Source organism: Homo sapiens, chromosome 3, assembly GCF_000001405.40.
Source record: "Homo sapiens chromosome 3, GRCh38.p14 Primary Assembly".
NCBI classification, from domain to species: Eukaryota; Metazoa; Chordata; class Mammalia; order Primates; family Hominidae; genus Homo; species Homo sapiens.
Window position 1 is genome coordinate 124,321,102 of NC_000003.12, and position 18,688 is coordinate 124,339,789.

At 43.6% G+C, this 18,688-nt stretch overlaps 1 protein-coding gene across 32 annotated transcripts in view; it reads left to right on the forward strand.

Annotated features, from left to right (window-relative positions):
* Positions 1 to 18,688, forward strand: part of KALRN (kalirin RhoGEF kinase) — a 692,957-nt gene that overhangs the window by 287,733 nt on the left and 386,536 nt on the right. For all 32 annotated transcript variants that reach the window (XM_006713810.4, XM_017007429.2, XM_011513279.3 and 29 more), the window contains exons 7-9: positions 4,879 to 5,070; positions 8,760 to 8,891; positions 13,164 to 13,394. In XM_006713810.4, coding sequence (XP_006713873.1) covers positions 4,879 to 5,070; positions 8,760 to 8,891; positions 13,164 to 13,394 — 555 coding nt within the window. The remainder of the gene's footprint in view (positions 1 to 4,878; positions 5,071 to 8,759; positions 8,892 to 13,163; positions 13,395 to 18,688) is intronic.

Genomic DNA, 18,688 nt, shown 5'->3' on the forward strand with positions numbered 1-18,688 from the left:
GACATTCTTTGCACTATTGGTTTTGTGCCAGGCATCTGGCTGGATGCTTTATGTTATCTCATGTAATCCACAGAGAATGTGTCTCATTCAGAGTGGGGGCCTATGACCACAAAAGTGTAAAGTTCACCTCAGCTTTTAGGAGTGAAATGAATGGGATTCAAATAATACCTTCTCTTGGCAATGATCTTCTCTTATAATCAGCCCCTGACACATAACTTAAGGTTACCAAAATGATAACTTGCATAAATGATTATTTCTAGAATAAGCAGTATTTCTTTCAGTATACCACATAAGAAATCACAAAGAGAAAATTTAGCTAAGGTTTTTAATGGAAAGCTATCATTATCTTGTTTTTGTAGCCGGTAGGCGTAAGCCAGGAATCAGGTTGGAAGTGGGAGCCCTTTTGGCAGGGCTGAAAACTTTGATCAAGATTCTGCCAAGCAGTTCTTTCAGGACAATGACTCTGCTCCATCGATTTCAGTTAATCACAGCATGGGACAAGGCCTCAGAAGAAGGGGCTCTCCATCCTGTGATCTCCAGTTAAGGACTGCAGGATGAAAAAAAGAATTTTGTGGGTAACAAAAGTGAGGGCAGGGTGTCAATATACACGGTTTTTGAGTTATCGAGATTTTGTTGGAATTTAGTTATTTTTCCTGTTTATGACCAAAATGATGGGAGGAAAGGCTTTGGGCGTAGGTAAGATGGGGCAGATAATGCAACGGACCATGCTGCAGGTGCATTGCCTTCTGCAGGGTAGATTGTGTCTATACCTTGGGCTGTGCCATACTTTGGATAATGATAATAATTTAATAACAACAGACTGCATATATAGGGGGGTTTAAATTTAATAAATCAGTTTTGAGGAAAGGATTTAAGAAGATACATATCAAGCTAGAATTATTAGTCAAGTTATTACCTTCTGGCCAGGGAAACTGGTTAGTCTGAGCATCTCAGATGAGGGGAAGGGGCTAAAGAGGAGAGGGAGAGAAGGGCCTCTGGCCCTTGGTCACCTAGAAGCTGAAGGACTCAGGGGTCCATCTCCAGTCTTGGTCCTCACACTACTGGGCAGTGAGCAGAGCCAGCATGAGGTGCTGAGACATGGACAGCAGGCCTGGGCTACATATACCTCTGGAGTAGGCAGCACTATGCTCCTGGTCTCCTGGAACTGACATTACTTACTCAGAAATGGAATGTCTGCGATCATTAGGTCGACTCCCTCACAGATGAGGAAACTGAGGCACAGAGAAGTCAAGTCATATCTTAAGTGAATGCCAGAGCTGGGACCAAAACTCATGACTCTTGATTCCTGGCCCAGTGATTTTAATGCCCTTGACTAATGGGCAGCTCTGCAGATGGAAAGGCATTGAAGGCTGGCAGGGAAGAATGGGAGAGCCAGGCAGATGGAAGAGAGTGGAGGGGGCAGCTGGTAGGAAATGGGAAAGCTGTAAAGAGCCAAAATATCCATTCCTCTTGGCCATGTCCCAAGGACAAACATAACTCCCAAATGTTCCTAATAGGGGCATAAACAGTCACCCAGAAGAACCACACAAATGGATTGACCAAAGGCCATGAAAAGTCGTTTATGCTTAATGAGTAAGCACTCCTATTTATTCAGACTCCTAATCCAGCTCTTTAACCTCATTCTTTCCTTTTAAGTCATTGGAGACCTTCCTTGCCATTACTCCCTTCTCATTTGTTGTGTGGCTGTCGTTGTACCTAGGGACAACTGCAGTTTAGAATCTATCTGCCCATTTCTCTCAGGTTCTGGGGCAAAGGAAAATGAAGGAGAAGATGATGAACTTGAGCGATGTGACTTGCCTGAAGTGTTTCATATTCTGAAAAGGGGCTATAGAGAAGAACAATGAGCAAATTCATAAGTCAACATTGTATTTATCCCTCTATTATGAGGGATACTGCCTCTACTTCTTTTGTGAGGCATAATTATTTGTTAGTTTTAGCAAGACATTTCTCCGCCTGCTGATAAGGAAACAAAAAAAGCATTTACTGTGCTAGTCTAGAATGTGAACTGTAAGCTGTGGTCTTTTTTTGTTTATTTGCTTTTAGTTTTAATCTATGATCACAGGCTTAGAGGTTGAAGGGGACTGTGGAGGACTGCCAGCCTCCCCATCCTTTTTCATGCGGGGAGCCTCTTCCCAACAGCCCTGCCAGTGGTTCAGATCCCTTCCCTCTGAATCCCCACAGGGAGTCGCTTCTACCTCTGTGGAAGCACTTGCTTCATTTTGCCTTAAATTACCGTTATTTGAGGACTTGTCTTAAGTCTCAGCTGTGAGCCCCTGTGGGCAGGGGGTGGATGGGCAGGAATCCTATCTTATTCCTCTTTGATCTCCTACAGCCCCCAACACAGAGCCTGGCCCACTCTCCGTAAATATTTGAATGAGTGACAAGGTGTTAAGAGTCTACAGAGGCAGCCACAGTTGGACACCTCTAATAGCTAGAAAGTTCTTCCTAAAAGTAAGCAGAAATATGCCTCCCTGTGTGCCATGGGAGGGAGGAGGATGTAATAGGCAGTGATGACAAAGGGCTGGGTGTCTATAGGGTATATCTGGGGACAGGGTAGTGCCTTGCTCTTACTGCTTTTCTTGCATTCTATCTGGCCAGAGTATACAAGGCCTTTCTCCAGGACAGGAAAACCCAAAAACCTAGATAGATCTGGGTAAGGTGGCAGGGGCATGGATTCCAGGATTTGAATCCAGTTTGGGAGGACAGCTCTATCAGACACTGTCAATGTCCCACCTATATGGCCTCAGCCTGCCCTGGGGGTCATCTGCAGGTGATTCTCATGCAGACTGACAGCTGCCTGCATTTATCGGCGGTGATCACTCTCTGACCTCAGAAGTGTGCTTGGTCTGTTTGTGGGTTCGGCTGGAAATGCCAGGAACTTACCCCAGGAAGGACCTTCAACCAAAGATCAATGGGACTTAGTGCATCAGTAACCCAGATTCCTCACCCCTCAGTGGGACAGCTCAGAGGTGTGTTTTATACTTTCTCAAAAGGTCTCAATAGGGATTGAACCCCAGTTGCTCATAGAACTTAACACATCCTTTATTCATTTCCCTCCCTTTCACTATGCTTCCTGGGACCATGCCCAAGTAAACTGTCTCTCCCAAATAATTGTCTCAAGGTCTGCTTTGGGGAGAACCCAAAGTAAGACAATGACATGAGCAGGAGATTTGAGGGACTTCCCATGCTATTCTTCCCATAGAAGATAAAACTGTCGAAATCAGTGTGTGCTTTCCCCCTCCCCATTCTTCCTCTCTATTTCTAAGTGCAGAGTGGTTTTTCTGTCAGTTCCATAAATAGAGTTTAATTTTCAGTAGAATTTGTGTCCTAACTCAGAAAACAAGGCTGAGAATGATTCTTACATCTTTGAGGGATAGTTATTTCCCATAACAAGAATCAGTAATGTCCTAGTTCTCTTAGGGAAATGCACTATGTCAGAAAGCTCTCAGGCCAGACTAAAAAGAGAGATGACACATAGGGGTCATTAGACATCAGGATGGATTTGTGTGGAAGTTCTTCACTTAACTTTTTAAACTTCCACAGAGACATTTTAAATTAAGAGAGACCCTACCAACCTGGCCCAGGTTTGGGATGGTGTGCTTAGAGGTCAGGGACAGCTAAGACGAATGCGGACCATGAGGGAAGTGAGAAAGGAAAATAAAGAACCTTCATTAAACCTACTCAGTATTAATGAACTACATCTGAGCTAACAGAACCTAGAGAAAATGCTGTTACTGCAGAACATGTATAATCATTTGAGAAGATTTGTAACAAATAACGAAGGTGTGTGAATAACTTGCCTCCCTGGTCCTCCTTCATGCAGACATTGTGTGATTCGGAAAAGCTCCCTGTGGATGCCACAACCTTACCTGATTGTTTTGACACCTCAGACAACTAATAGGAGATAGCGGTTAAAAATAGCCATAATCACTACTGTCTTATGTTTGTGGAGTTTTTCTTTTGTCTCGTTCCTTCCTGGAGCATTTTTCAGTGACCTAATAGGAAACAGCATACATGTTCATGAATTTTTAATTAGCAAGTAAAGATGGGAATGAATGTAAACAAAACAAGTAAACAAAACACAAGATGACAGGAGACAATGGATCAAGAGAGCCCCTCCTTGATGCCTTTTGGGGTACCCACAGATGCCTTTTGGGGTCAGGTGGGGAAATCTTCCTAAATCAAGCAGAGATAAGAAAGGGCTTCACAGACCTTATTATTAGCATGGAAAAGTGTGTGGGTTCAAATGCTGTCTTTATTTAAACCCTGTTTGATGACCAGTGCCTCAGCTCTTTTGGCAGGGCTGAAGGAGGTAGGAGGAAGGTGGGGACATCTTTGCTAGGTGATAGGAAGATGTGGAATTACTGTGTCTCCTTTGCCCTCTTTGATGAGTACTTCTGCCCTGTTTGTTGTATGTAGATGGCAATAGTGTCCTGGGTACAGCTCTCCCCTGAGCAAGAGAGATGTCTCTGCCTCCTTTAGCTTGTGCCCTCGTCTGAGCCATCACTTCCAAAGAACGCTCTTGAGAGTTATGTGCCATCCCTGGGAATGACTTCATAAGATGGTTGTGAAGATTACATAAAGTAGTCCATGTAAAGTGACTGCATTAAAGTGCATTAATAGTTGGCACAAAATCTATGCTGGTTCCCCACAATGAAAGTTCCCTGCTATCTACTGAAATTGAATTGTAGAAAAAGATTTCCCTTGGGCCAAAAACAAATACACTAGTATGGACTGTACCAGCGTCTCTCAGACTTTTGTTTTGGGCAGCTCCCTTCCCCAAATATGTACCCCACGAAAGTGCTCAGTGGATGTCTTTTGAGCCTGCCCCACTGAGCACTCTCCTTTTCTTTCCAGAATGCCTATGTCAACATCAACCGCATCATGTCCGTGGCTTCCCGCCTCTCTGAGGCCGGTCATTATGCCTCACAACAAATCAAGCAGATCTCCACCCAGCTGGACCAGGAGTGGAAGAGCTTCGCTGCTGCCCTGGATGAACGCAGCACCATCCTCGCCATGTCTGCTGTGTTCCACCAGAAGGCTGAGCAGGTAAGGTGCAGAAACCTGCAGCAGCTGCTGTTGGTAGGAAGGGTTGGGCATGGGCAGGGGAGGGCTGGATGGGAGCACACACACTCTCTATAGGGAGCTCCACCTGTCTTTTTGAAACACTGAAGACCCTGCCGAGTCATTGCAACAATAACCTATGTTCTACCACTTTGATGGCCCCTGTGTGCACAAAGAAACATTGGTAACTCTTGGTGACTTTGCTTGTCATACAAACAAGAGGGGACCCAGAGCCTTTTTACATTTTGCTTGGTAGTGGTTGCATGTGCGTGTGTGCATGTGTGGACTGTCTGCTTAGTGTGCATTCTTTGAACACAGATCAAAGGGGTGAATGTAAAGTGATCATTGAGGTGCTGAGAGCAGGGGAAACTAATTTTACATGAAGTATTTGCTATGGATAATGGGAATATAACAATAATATAATGGGTCAAGATAATAATTACTCGTACTTACTAAGTGGCCAGGCATTGGCCAGTGACATTGCTAACCCATTTTACAAAGAGGAACACTGAAGCTCAGAGAGATTAAGTGATTGGCCTGCCTAAGATCCCATGATGTGTTGGAGCCTGTCTTGAACCAGCTCATGGAGAGACAGTTGTTAAATTTTTAGGAATTTTGAGAACTGGTTGTCACATTCTAGCTATTGCTTAATTATGTAGGTTTATAATTAAATGTGTTATGTTAAAAGCAAAGTTAATAAATACTCAAAATTCATCACTTCCTGATTATTTTACAACATATTGTTATTACCTATGTTCTTGAAATCATTTTTATGTATTTATTTTTTCTGTGGTGGAAATACCGTACAATTGTGTGCTATGTATGGATCACCTCTTCCCAACTCCATGTTGGTGATGTCACATTGGTAGCTTAAAATACACCATGGTAGGAGTTTCATATTATAGAAATTATCAGATGCTACAAACCAGGGATTGATTTATTGCTTTATTGTTGCCTAGAGTCTTAAGAAAATGAGGGAGAAAGTGTTTGAAAATGCAGACTAAACTTAAAAATGTGTCCTGTGTATAGCTGTTACGTTGTAAATAACACACAAAAATCAAGGAAATATTCTTCCAATATTCAAAAACTGTTATTTGGTTCAGCAAAGAAGTTGCTGACATCCTTGATGAACAAGTGATGTTCTGGCGTAGTATTCAGGTGCTTTTCACCTTTGTCTCACTCCTTAACATAGTGAAAATATCAACCAGCATGTGTGTCAGAACTATACATGTTTGTCAGTTGCAACCATAGGTCAAAAGCATCCTGTGAGAATCAACTGGCTACATTAAATATACAATACAGAGTATTGTATATGCTGTTGTTCTCTGTAAATTGTGTTTTATACATTCTTTATATCAGTAGGATTTGTAAATGAACTTACCTGTGTATATGTAATATATAGTCATATACACACACACATATATATGCTGGTTGTTAAACATTTTCTAACACACCACTGCTAAAATCACACAATCTATGAGTAGATAGGCTATCACCTCAGGTGTGTTTTACACTAGGCCTGTGGTCTTAACTTCTACAATTCTTTCTTTGCATCACATTTGGGTAATATAGGCCAAGGAGAGTCAGACACCTGGTCACACCTTAAATTTCTCCCTCTGTTACCCTCTCTAGTGTGGAAAGCAACATGGCATAATTAAGAGTCTAGACTTTGAGGCAAGACACATGGATTCTGATCCCAGCTCCACCATTCATTCACCCTTAGGCAAGTCACATCACCATTCTGAGCTTGTTTCCTCTTCCGTAATGTGGAGCTAATCATAAATGGCACAGGGCTGTGCTAAAGATACAACACGAGAGATGGAATATGTAAGGTGCCTCGTGTGCTTACTAAACAGTGGACATTACTACTATGGGTATTTGCACCACATACTATCCTGGTATCTTTTTATTTCCTCCATTTGTGTCTATTTCCACCTAAGAACTTCCTAAAGACTGAAATAATACTTGTGTCAAGCACAACCCTATACTTTGAGAGGGATTTGGCCATATCTTTTTGTCGCCGTTGTTAAGGTTGTTGGTGGTAGTGACTGATAGTGACTGGTTCATTCTTAGGGCCATGAGAATATTGCTGTCCAATCTCCTGTTCTGTCTTCAACCTTATCACTTACATACTTTATTCAAGGTTTGCCCAGATTGGTAAGGAAGACCCAACTGCTTCTCTCTTTGTCTCTCTGGCATTATCTCCTTGAGGTGATCGTTTTGTGGGATATGCTACAGGCCACCTGTTAGAATATTGCAGAGAAATCCCATGAGCCTTGAAGGAGTGTTCCCCCCATGATTGACACAAGAATGTCAAGTTGCTCCCAGGGTCATTTGTAAAGTAGTTATTGGTGGAGCAAAGAAGCTTCTGAGATCTTAGCATGTACATATTATATGATCTGATACTCGATGGCACCTGGCACTCTTCCAGAATTGCTTAGAAATGGTCTAGTGTGTTACAAAATGTACAGAATGAAGTCAACCACAACAATCAACAGGCCAGGGACTGAAAGCTGACAGTGACAACAAAACTAGAACGCAAACGGTTGCTGTACCAGAACTGAGAAAACTGGAGAAGTGCACGTTTATTTCATGTTTCCTGACTGGACTGGTTTGGATCAGAAGCGATTTTATTTGTATCTATTTTTTAATGCAATTTCTGCAGGTATTACTAGTCCTTCAGGGACATTCATAAACCATGCTTCTTTTTAACTGGGGAAAAACATGACTCAAAGTTATTTTTTCCATGTATTTATTTAGGCAGCTCTTTATTGTCCTCATATGGGCTGTTCTTGGCAATGGGATAAAGAGGTCTTTAGGCAATTAATTTAAATGGAGCTGTGCATCCAGACGAGAGGAATCACAGACAGAACGATTCCAGACTGTTGGGTGAATTATTTGCATTTTAAAGGTGCATTTTTCCACCCAATAAATCTGAGTGATTTCAGTTAGCTTACCCTTTGTGCGTGAAGACCCATAGTCTTCCACAGTTGTTAATTTTAATTTTTAAATAATTTGATGTCTGTCAAGATCTATGTCTATATATCACAACCTGGGATGCAGTAGGTGTAGCACAGCCTGTCCCCCTAGACTGCCTCTCTCGTTTCCACCCTTCAGGGGACTGACCCAACAGTGGGAGACCTGTTGAGGGCAGTTTCCGTCCCATATGGGATGGTCTCTGCAAGTTTCCTGGGGTTCCTGGTGGTCTGTGTGAGGTGTTTTTTGCTTGTCTTCACAACTGGATGTACATACTGTAAAGCACAGATGTGGAACATCTCCTTACATTACACACAGCCCCTCACGTGTGCCTGTGAGTGTGCGTGGGGCAAGAAGCTCTAATGTATCCGTGGAATGTGGTGAGCTGTTTCCATACCTGGACATTACAGTTAGTGTGTATCTATAACCTATTGAACATCTGATGATTCACCTGCCACCTACAGTTTCATAATAGTCAATTTTGTGGAGACTATACTTCCTAAATGGGTGCCTGGGTCTGATTTCTTACTAGGAGTTAGTGTTCATAGAATTAAAAAAACTCTACCCTCTACAGTGGTCTCTGAAGGCTTTCAGAAGTCCTGATGTTTCTTCCCAAGGTATCTGACCCTCTCTCCATAATCCACCCAACTCCTCACCCCCAGTGCTCCCCCACTGATCCACCCTGCATCTCCTTCCAGTTCCTGTCGGGAGTGGATGCCTGGTGCAAGATGTGCAGTGAAGGTGGTCTGCCATCCGAGATGCAAGACCTAGAGCTGGCAATCCACCACCACCAGACCTTGTATGAGCAGGTGACCCAAGCCTACACAGAGGTGAGAATGGAGCAGGGCAACCATGGTTCTTGGGCATGTCTGCATGTGGGTGGGTGATGAGGGCACTGGCCTGTGCCCTGTGAAATAGCCTGGGTGGGACTAAGAAGAAGAGGCTGTTTTTCTTTTTTTTTGGTGACATCTTTAGGAACCTTGATCTATGAACTATGGTGTCTCCAGCCAGGAAGCAGAAAAAATTGGGGCCATTATTAGGCACCACTTTGGTGCACTCGCATTCATTCTCTCTCTCTCTCTCTCACACACACACACACACACACACACACACACACACACACACCCCATACACCTGCCTCATCCTGTGTGTGAAGATTGGACTTTCTCCTCTTGGGGGAGGAATATAAGAAAATGAAGCTGTGCTTCTCTGGAGGTTGCTTTCTGGTTGGTGAGTGGAGATGTACACACTAGCCCTGCCACCTTTTTTATGAAGCAGCTCATTAAAAAAAGATTAATTTTCTCACTAGACGATCCAGAGGAAAACACACAGGGTGGAGATAAGTGTTTGCAGGAGTAAGAAGCTTCCATGAATGTGAAGGACAAAGACTCTTCCATTGAAAAATCAAAGGCAGGGGGTTACTGTAAAGTTAAGAAAGGGAAAAAACCTCTTGACAGTCCTCTCAAAGTAAAAGGAAACAGCTACATAGGTATATCTGTGTAGATACACATAAGTTAGTATGTTTGCTAACTGGCATGAATTCTGAGGAAGGGGACTGAGGGATGGAGAGAGATGGGCTGATTAAGGAAGCTGGATGAGGAGAAGAAGTGAATTCACATCCAACCCATGTGTTTCCTCTGGGCAGGATTAGTTAGAGGAGTATTAAAATGGGTTCCTGGACCACCTGCATCGGACTCACCTGATACAGATTCCTGGGTCCCACCCCAGACTGAATCAGAATATCAAGAAGTGAGACCTGGAACCTACATTTTAATAACTATTACCCTAGGTGAGTTTGATGCACATTGAAGTCTAAGAACCAATGGCTCCTAGGTAAGAGTAAGGGTTTTTGCCACAGTCAAACTGAGTTTGAATCCTGGCTCTCCTATTTACTAGCTGTGTGACCTCAGGCAAGTTACTTAACCACTTTGAGCCTGGTTTCATCTGTGAAATCAAAGTAGTAACACCTGTCTCATAGGATAGTGTTGAGGTTATAAAGGTAATGCATGACAATTCACAATTGCAAAAATATGGAACCAGCCTAAATGTCTATCAACCAATGAATGGATAAAGAAAATGTGGTATAAATACACCATGGAATACTACTCAGCCATAAAAAGGAACAAAATAATGGCATTCACAGCAATCTGGATGGAGTTGGAGACCATTATTCTAAGTGAAGTAACTCAGGAATGGAAAACCAAGTATGGCATATTCTCACTTTTAAGTGGGAGCTAACCAAACACCACCTGTTCCCCAAAACTATTTAAATAAATAAATCAATCATTGTACCCAACAAAAATTTAAAAAAATAAAATGAAGGTAATGTATGTAATGCACTTGGCCCAGTGTCTGACAGTAATGAATACTAAAAAATGGTAATGTATTCTGTCATTGTAGAAGGTACAACGAAGGACTTACAAGCCAAATCTGATCTCATCAGCTCTGATCCATATGGCTCAAAGCTTTCTGTCTTAGAACTGTGCCTCTGCCCATGGGTCAAGAATCTTTAAATTTACTCCTTGCAAAATACAAATATAGAGAGTACAAATGAGATTAATATTATACTTCCACATATGTGAGGTGTGGGTGTAATTATACATATAGACACAATATTTCTCTCAATTAATTATCAGGCCCTAGCGTTGTGAGGCTTAAACCTTCCCTCCAAGCCCACTTCAGAGGCCAGTGAGCTGTCCATGCTTCCTACAGATGTAGAGACTGAGGCAGAGGATTAGAGCTCATGTGGGGTGGATTTCTAGGACTTGGGACTCCATCTCTAACTGCCCTACCCTGGACATAGCATGGTGCCAAAAGACAGCATTTGCTCAGAATTCCAGAAAGAGAGCTCTCCTGGGTTTCACTATAGGATATTTGTCTTATTTATGTCTCTGGTGGGCATCACCTCTGCATTATGTATAAGCTACTTCCCCCACCCCACTCCCCTGGCAGTCAATTATGGGAGATGGGGATGGCAGGATTGGGTGGGTGGTGGTGATTTCCTCTCCTGGCCTCTGCTGCACTCTACCGCAGCACCCCTCCTAACCACCCTGCCCTGAAAGCATTTCTGTGGCCCCATGGGCAGGAGTAACATCTGCTTCTGTATTCCTGGACCCCCATCCAAGCTATTATCAGGGACCAAAGGAGGGGTGAGGGGAGGATGCAAACCCGGCAAACAGCTTCATCATCAGAGGTGTGGAGATGGAAGCACACACACCTCATTCCCTACCTTGCTGGTGAGATAAAAGACCATTTTCATCTCCAAAAGCCTTCTTTTGGGGAAGGCTCCAAGCCAGCTTTGATTTAGTTGGTAACCAAATTTGGGGACTCAACATTTCTATCAATTCCCAGTCATCCCTGTTTTAAATTGGAAAGATGCATGTTCTGTTGGGTACTTTGTCAAGCACAGGAGGGCCATAGGTGTTGATTGTATGTGTCATTTTCCAGAATTATTGATGCCCGTGATTGTGCCAGAACTCCAATGAGAAGAATGGCAGAGAGTGTCATCCCACTTTTCTCAGACTGTGGGCGAGTGTTGGGGAACCGAGGAAAGTGGATGGTGTGTCCACTGTCTAAGTGTCCCAGCCTTTCTCTGCATGTTCTAGAAAAATGAGGATTGTACTGCTTTTCAGGAGAAAGAAAGGGCTCGTATAGAGCGAGAGCAAAGTATTTTAAAAGGATAAAGACGAAAGAAAATGACAAGGAAATAAAGAGGATGGGAGAGAGATGATGATGATGATGGTTGTATTAGTCTGTTCTCATGCCGCTAATAAAGACATACCTGAGACTGGGTAATTTATAAAAAAAGAAAAAAAAGAGGTTTGATGCACTCACAGTTTCACATGGCCATGGAGGCCTCACAATCATGGCAGAAAGAGGAGGAGGAGCAAAGTCATGTCTTACATGGTGGCAGTCAAGAGAGTGAGTGCAGGGGAACTGCCCTTTTATAAAACTATCAGATCTCATGAGATTTATTCACTAACATGAGAACAGCACTGGAAAAACCCACCCGCATGATTCAGTTACCTCCCACCAGGTCCCTCCCACAACACGTGGTGATTATGGGAACTACAATTCAAGATGAGATTTAAATGGGGACACAGACAAACCATATCAATGGTGATGATGATGAAGATAAAATTGGTAGCCAGTATCACTTGTCAGGCTCTATTCTAAATACGGTATGTGTGTTAACTCATTTAATCCTCACCATGACTTTATGAAATATGTACATAAATATCCCTCCTTTACAGACAAGGAAACTGAGGACCCAGGAGGTTAAATAACTTGCCTCTTGTCACACATCTAGAATTTTAGAGCCAAATAGAGGAATTTGGGAAAGAAAGAGGAGGAGAGGATTATGGTGGGAACTTACATTGACTTCATTTCTGAAATGAAGTTATGCTGTCTGACCTGGTGTGAGTCAGTTAAAATGTTTACCAAGCCTGGGCACTGTGGCTCACACCTGTAATCCAAGCACTTTGGGAGGCTGAGGTGGGCGGATCACCTGAGGTTAGGAGTTCAAGACCAGCCTGGCCAACATGGTGAAACCCCGTCTCTACTAAAAATACAGAAATTAGCCAGGTGTGGTGGCAGGCACCTGTAATCCCAGCTACTCAGGAGGCTGAGGCAGGAGAATCGCTTGAACCCGGGAGGCAGAGGTTGCAGTGAGCCGAGATCGCACCATTGATTGCACTCCAGCCTGGGGACAAGAGTAAGACTTTGTCTCAAAAACAAACAAACAAACAAAAATTTACCAAATGCCTACTGTGTGCCAGGCACTGTTTTGGGCATTGGGGCGAGAGCAGCAAGTAGGCAGTATCTCTGCCCTCACAGTGCTGAAATTCAGGAGGGGAGAGAGTCTCACAGACAACTGGCCAGCACTCCAGCAACTCCCACATCAGGGGATTCCAGCTGCTCTGCCCTCCACCAGGCCGGAGGATGGGCCCCATGGCAGCTCTGGCTGGCTAGGTGTCTGGGTATGGAATGCCTGAGATTCTCAGAAGGCCTAGTCAGGGACCCTCAGGCAGACACTTCCTGCTTCTCTCTGTGCCCTGCCTATCACCCTTTTCCCTTAACTTAAACTTCTCTCTTTCCTGCAGGTCAGCCAGGATGGCAAAGCACTACTTGATGTGCTGCAGCGGCCCCTGAGCCCTGGGAACTCCGAATCCCTCACGGCCACAGCCAACTACTCCAAGGCAGTGCACCAGGTGCTGGACGTGGTGCATGAGGTGTTACATCACCAGCGACGGCTGGAGAGCATCTGGCAGCACCGCAAGGTGCGGCTCCACCAGCGGCTGCAGCTCTGCGTCTTCCAGCAGGATGTACAGCAGGTAACAGGCTCTGAGCCCCGGTGTCCATTATCCATTCTAGGAGGCAGACCGAGCTCAAGTCCCTGACCTAGGTGATCAGGCTTAGGAGAGCCCAGATTTATAGAAGGACATAATGAAATTCAGCTCTCAACTGCTCCACAGAACCCTACCAAAACACAGAACAAAAACTGGACCTGTGAATTGCATATTTCTTGCCTAAGTGACTGTATAGACTGGCCTTCTCACCACGTGGTATTGTAAAGGGAGACTCAGTCTCAGGAACTGCAATTCCTCGTAGTCATGTGGCACATTTTTCTTTTGTTTTGTTTTGTTTTTTGGAAACAGAGTCTCGCTCTGCCGCCTGGGCTGGAGTATAGTGGTGTGATCTTGGCTCACTGCAACCTCCGCTTTCTGGGTTCAAGCGATTCTTGTTCCTCAGCCTCCCAAGTAGCTGGGATTAACCGCATGTGCCATCACACCCAGCTAATTTTTGTATTTTTGGTGGAGACGGGGTTTCACCATGTTGACCAGGCTGGTCTTGAACTCCTGACTTCAGGTGACCCGCCCGCCTCGGCCTCCCAAAGTGTCAATATGGGTTAGGATTAGGGCCAATATGGCACATTTTTCTTTTGGTGAGCTTGACCCACACTCAGGCAATGATTGCTAGACAGCTTGGGGGTGGGGGGTTATCCAAGCACTGTCAGGCTTGGACTCCACATACGGTCCATCTGGGATGCACGTGGCCTGCCAGAGTGAAGGTGAAGTGGAGTACAGGAAACTTCAGAGGATTCCTTGACAAGGTTGGACCAGGAAAATCAGATTTAAAACCTGGGCTGTTGTTCAGTGTATGTTTCATGATTACAGGTTATTCCTGACTTTATGTAGTTTCTTTTTTTTTGTATTATGACATCAGTTGTTGCTTTTTCCTTTACCACTAATAATAAAGAAATGGTTATGTTTCTGACCACAAAAGGACAATCTTGCTACAAATGCCCTTTCAGATGAAATAACCCATTCTTTTCTCCTTGTACTTTCTCTGTTTCTGTCTTCCAGAGGACCCTGGGATCTTTGCTGGAGGACTAATATACTAGTGTGGGGGGAGCTGGCTGGGAGATGGGGACTGAGATCCAGGCTCACTGTCATCTGCCTCTTAGTTCACCATAGGAAAACTAAGGATGGGCTTAGTTGTCCTAGGATGGGCTCTGCAGAGCTGCAGAGAAGCTGCTCGGGTGGACGCACTCGTGTTCAAACACCTGTTTGACTTTTCTGTGGCTACCGTGTAACTCCAGGATTATACATATAAAATAACAATTCACTCTCCTTTCATTCTTTTGTGGTATCAACCAGGTATAATCCAAGTATAATCTAATTTATCTACTGTATTATATAATACAATGTAATCCATTGTATATTTCCAGTGTAGTGAAATACACATGGAAAATTGAGAGCCAACTGTACATGTCTTTGGGATATCTGTTCCCTTCACAGGTGTCATTAGAGGGGCCTCTGATGCTGGGTGCCTGAAGTGGTCAGGCAGAGTGGAGGGAGAGTTGAGCATTCTTATCACTGACTGTGACACTCTCTGAATAGGGGGATAGTCACTGTGCAATCAGTCCCAGGAACAGATGGGCCTTCGAGCATGCCCCCACTTCTTGGGCTGTCATAACTCCCCTTGAAGAGTCCTCTTCTGACTGGAGCATCAGTTGAGTTATCAGAGGCAACACCTCAGTCCCAGGAGAAATGGGCACTACTGATGTGCTGGCTGCAGTTCTGAAGCCCTTGTGGGGCCTGCCGGGAGTGGAGAAGCAAGTGAATCAGTTGCCTACTCCTGCCATCTGGAGCTATCCTGATAAATATATCACTCCTGAGCACAGGAGAGCACAGGAGGCAGTCTATGATTGAGACAGAGTGAGGTACCAGCCTCTGAAGGCACAAAGGAGAGGCGTTGCTATTTCAGTGAACTCTCCATTACTCTCAGAGATGATCTGGGCCGTGAATTGTGCAATATCCATGGTGTCCTCTTTACCCTCATGCTGATTTTATAGCTGTTGTCCTGGAGAGCTGCAGAGGGGCTGCAAGGAGGGTGTGTGAAAGGCCTCCCCAAGGGGAGGGTGGCATTCCAGACTCCAACTATCAGGGAACTGCTGTAATCTGACTTTTCTGTGGCTACTCTAAACTAAAGCTAAGAAAAAGTATAAAACCACACCTGTGGTTGTTCTGCATCATGCTTTCAAAAATGAGAGCCTTTCTGAAATTAAGACCCTGTCAGTTCATCACTTTCTTGTTTGTAAATCCATGAGCATGAAATCTTTTTCCATTTATTTGTGTCCTTTTATTTCCTTCTGCAGTGGTTTGTAGTTCTCCTTGAAGAGGTCCTTCACATCCCTTGTAGTTGTATACGTAGGTATTTTATTCTCTTTGTAGCAATTGTGAGTGGGAGTTCACTCATGATTTGGCTCTCTATTATTGGTTTACAGGAATGCTTGTGATTTTTGCACATTCCAGAATTGTGCAAAAAATCAATTGCATTGATTTTGTATCTTGAGACTTTGCTGGAGTTGCTTATCAGCTTAAGATTTTGGGCCGAGACGATGGGGTTTTCTAAATGTATAATCATGTCATCTGCAAACAAAGACAATTTGACTTCCTCTGTTCCTATTTGAATACCCTTTATTTCTTTCTCTTGCCTGATTGCCCTGGCCAGAACTTCCAATACTATGTTGAATAGGAGTGGTGAGAGAGGGCATCTTTGTCTTGTGCCGATTTTCAACGGAAATGCTTCTAGCTTTTGCCCAGTCAGTATGATATTGGCTGTGGGTTTGTCATAAATAGCTTTTATTATTTTGAGATACCTAGTTTATTGAGAGTTTTAGCATGAAGGGGTGTTGAATTTTATCAAAGGCCTTTTCTGCCTCTATTGAGATATCATGTGGTTTTTGTCATTGATTCTGTTTATGTGATGGATTATGTTTATTGATTTGCGTATGTTGAACCAGCCTTGCATCCCAGGGATGGAGCTGACTTGATCATGGTGGATAAGCTTTTGGATGTGCTGCTGGATTCATTTGGCCAGTATTTTATTGAGGATTTTTGCGTCAATGTTCATCAGGGATATTGGCCTGAGATTTTCTTTTTTTGTTGTGTCTCCGACAGGGTTTGGTATCAGGATGATGCTGGCCTTATAAAATGAGTTAGGGAGGAGTCCCTCTTCTTCTATTGTTTGGAATAGTTTCAGAAGGAATGATACCAGCTCCTCTTTGTATCTCTGTTAGAATTCGGCTGTGAATCCATCTGGTCCTGGACGTTTTTTTGTTGGTAGACTATTAATTACTGCCTCAATTTCAGAACTTGTTATTGGTCTATTCAGGGATTCAACTTCTTTAGTCTTGGGAGGATGTATGTGCCCAGGAATTTATCCATTTCTTCTAGATTTTCTAGTTTATTTGCGTAGAGGTATTTATAGTATTCTCTGATAATAGTTTATATTTCTGTGGGATCAGTGGTGGTATCCCCTTTATCATTTTTTATTGTGTCTATTTGATTCTTCTCTCTTTTTTTCTTTATTAGTCTGGCTAGTGATCTATCTATTTTGTTAATCTTTTCGAAAATCAGCTCCTGGATTCACTGATTTTTTGAAGGGTTTTTCATGTCTCAATCCCCTTCAGTTCTTCTCTGATCTTAGTTATTTCTTGTCTTCTGCTAGCTTTTGAATTTGTTTGCTCTTGCTTCTCTAGTTCTTTTAATTGTGATGTTACAGTGTCAATTTTAGATCTTTCCCGCTTTCTCCTGTGGGCATTTAGTGCTATAAATTTCCATCTGAACACTGCTTTAGCTGTGTCCCAGAGATTCTGGTACGTTGTGTCTTTGTTCTCATTGGTGTCAAAGAACTTCTTTATTTCTGCCTTAATTTCATTATTTACCCAGTAGTCATTCAGGAGCAGGTTGCTCAGTTCCCATGTAGTTGTGTGGTTTTGAGTGAGCTTCTTAATCCTGAGTTCTAATTTGATTGGACTGTTGTCTGAGAGACTGCTTGTTATTATTTCCGTTCTTTTGCATTTGCTGAGGAGTGTTTTACTTCCAATTATGTGGTCAATTTTAGAATAAGTGCGATGTGGTCCTGAGAAGAATGTATATTCTGTTGATTTGGGGTGGAGAGATCTGTAGATGTCTATTAGGTCCGCTTGGTCCAGAGCTGAGTTCAAGTCATGGATATCCTTGTTAATTTTCTGTCTTGTTGATCTGTCTAATATTTATAGTGGGGTGTTAAAGTCTCCCACTATTATTGTGTGGGAGTCTCTCTTTGTAGGTCCCTGCGAACTTGCTTTATGAATCTGGGTGCTCCTGTATTGGATGCAAGGAAACCCAAAATGGAAAAAAAATCACTAAAAATTATTTTCCATTTGTTACAGAAAATGAGGGAGGCATCACATGTGAATATGTAACTATATTTTTCAAAGTGTGATACTTGGACCCCTGCATTAAAATCATCTGGGCAGAGTGGAGGGCTTTTTAAAAACAGATTATCAGGCCGTGTTCTACATTTCTTGATTCAGAATTTGGGAATGAGGTGGAGCCTATAATTTAAAAAGAACCCCAGGTGATTCTTAAGCATTCTGAAGTTCAAAACTGTTGGCAAGAGTTTGAAGCCTTAGTGTTAAAAAGTATAGTGCCTCCAGAAACAGACAGCAAGGTACCAGGCAGAGGAGGTTCTCTCAGAGAGGTGGGAGGACCCAGCCTCCGCTCTGCTGGGAGGGGACGGGTGCAGGTGGGCTGGGGCTGGAGAGGCCCAGGGTTAGGGGCAGCTGAGACTTTGGGTCTCTGGACCCTCAGCTGGCTTCCACCCAACTTTGGGTCTGCCAGGTGACAGGATTGCAGCTCTCAGTGGAAGCACAGTCCGTACACCTGCTAATGAGTTTCTGCTGAGCCCTCTCAGAAGAATGATGGCTTCTCCTGCCATAGCAAGACATTTATTTTGATCATATTTGTTCCAAAGAGGGGACGCAAAATGAGTTGCTGGTAATTGGGCATTTCAAGTGGTGCCTGCATGCTCTCCAGTTGCAGCCGATGGGGAGCTGGGTGGTACAGGCAGCCTAGGAGCTGCTCCCCTTCAGAACTAGTGCTCAGTGTGCTGTGTGAGGAGACAGAAATAATGATGTGGCAGACTCTCCTGAGTGCTCTTCACACTGTGTGTACTTGAACCTTTAACAGAACAAAATGTCTTGTAGATGCCTGATGGCATATAGATGATCCTTAATTTACATCAGAATAATGGCTTTCTAAATGTAGGGGGCTGAGGGCTGAGAGGTAGGAATTAA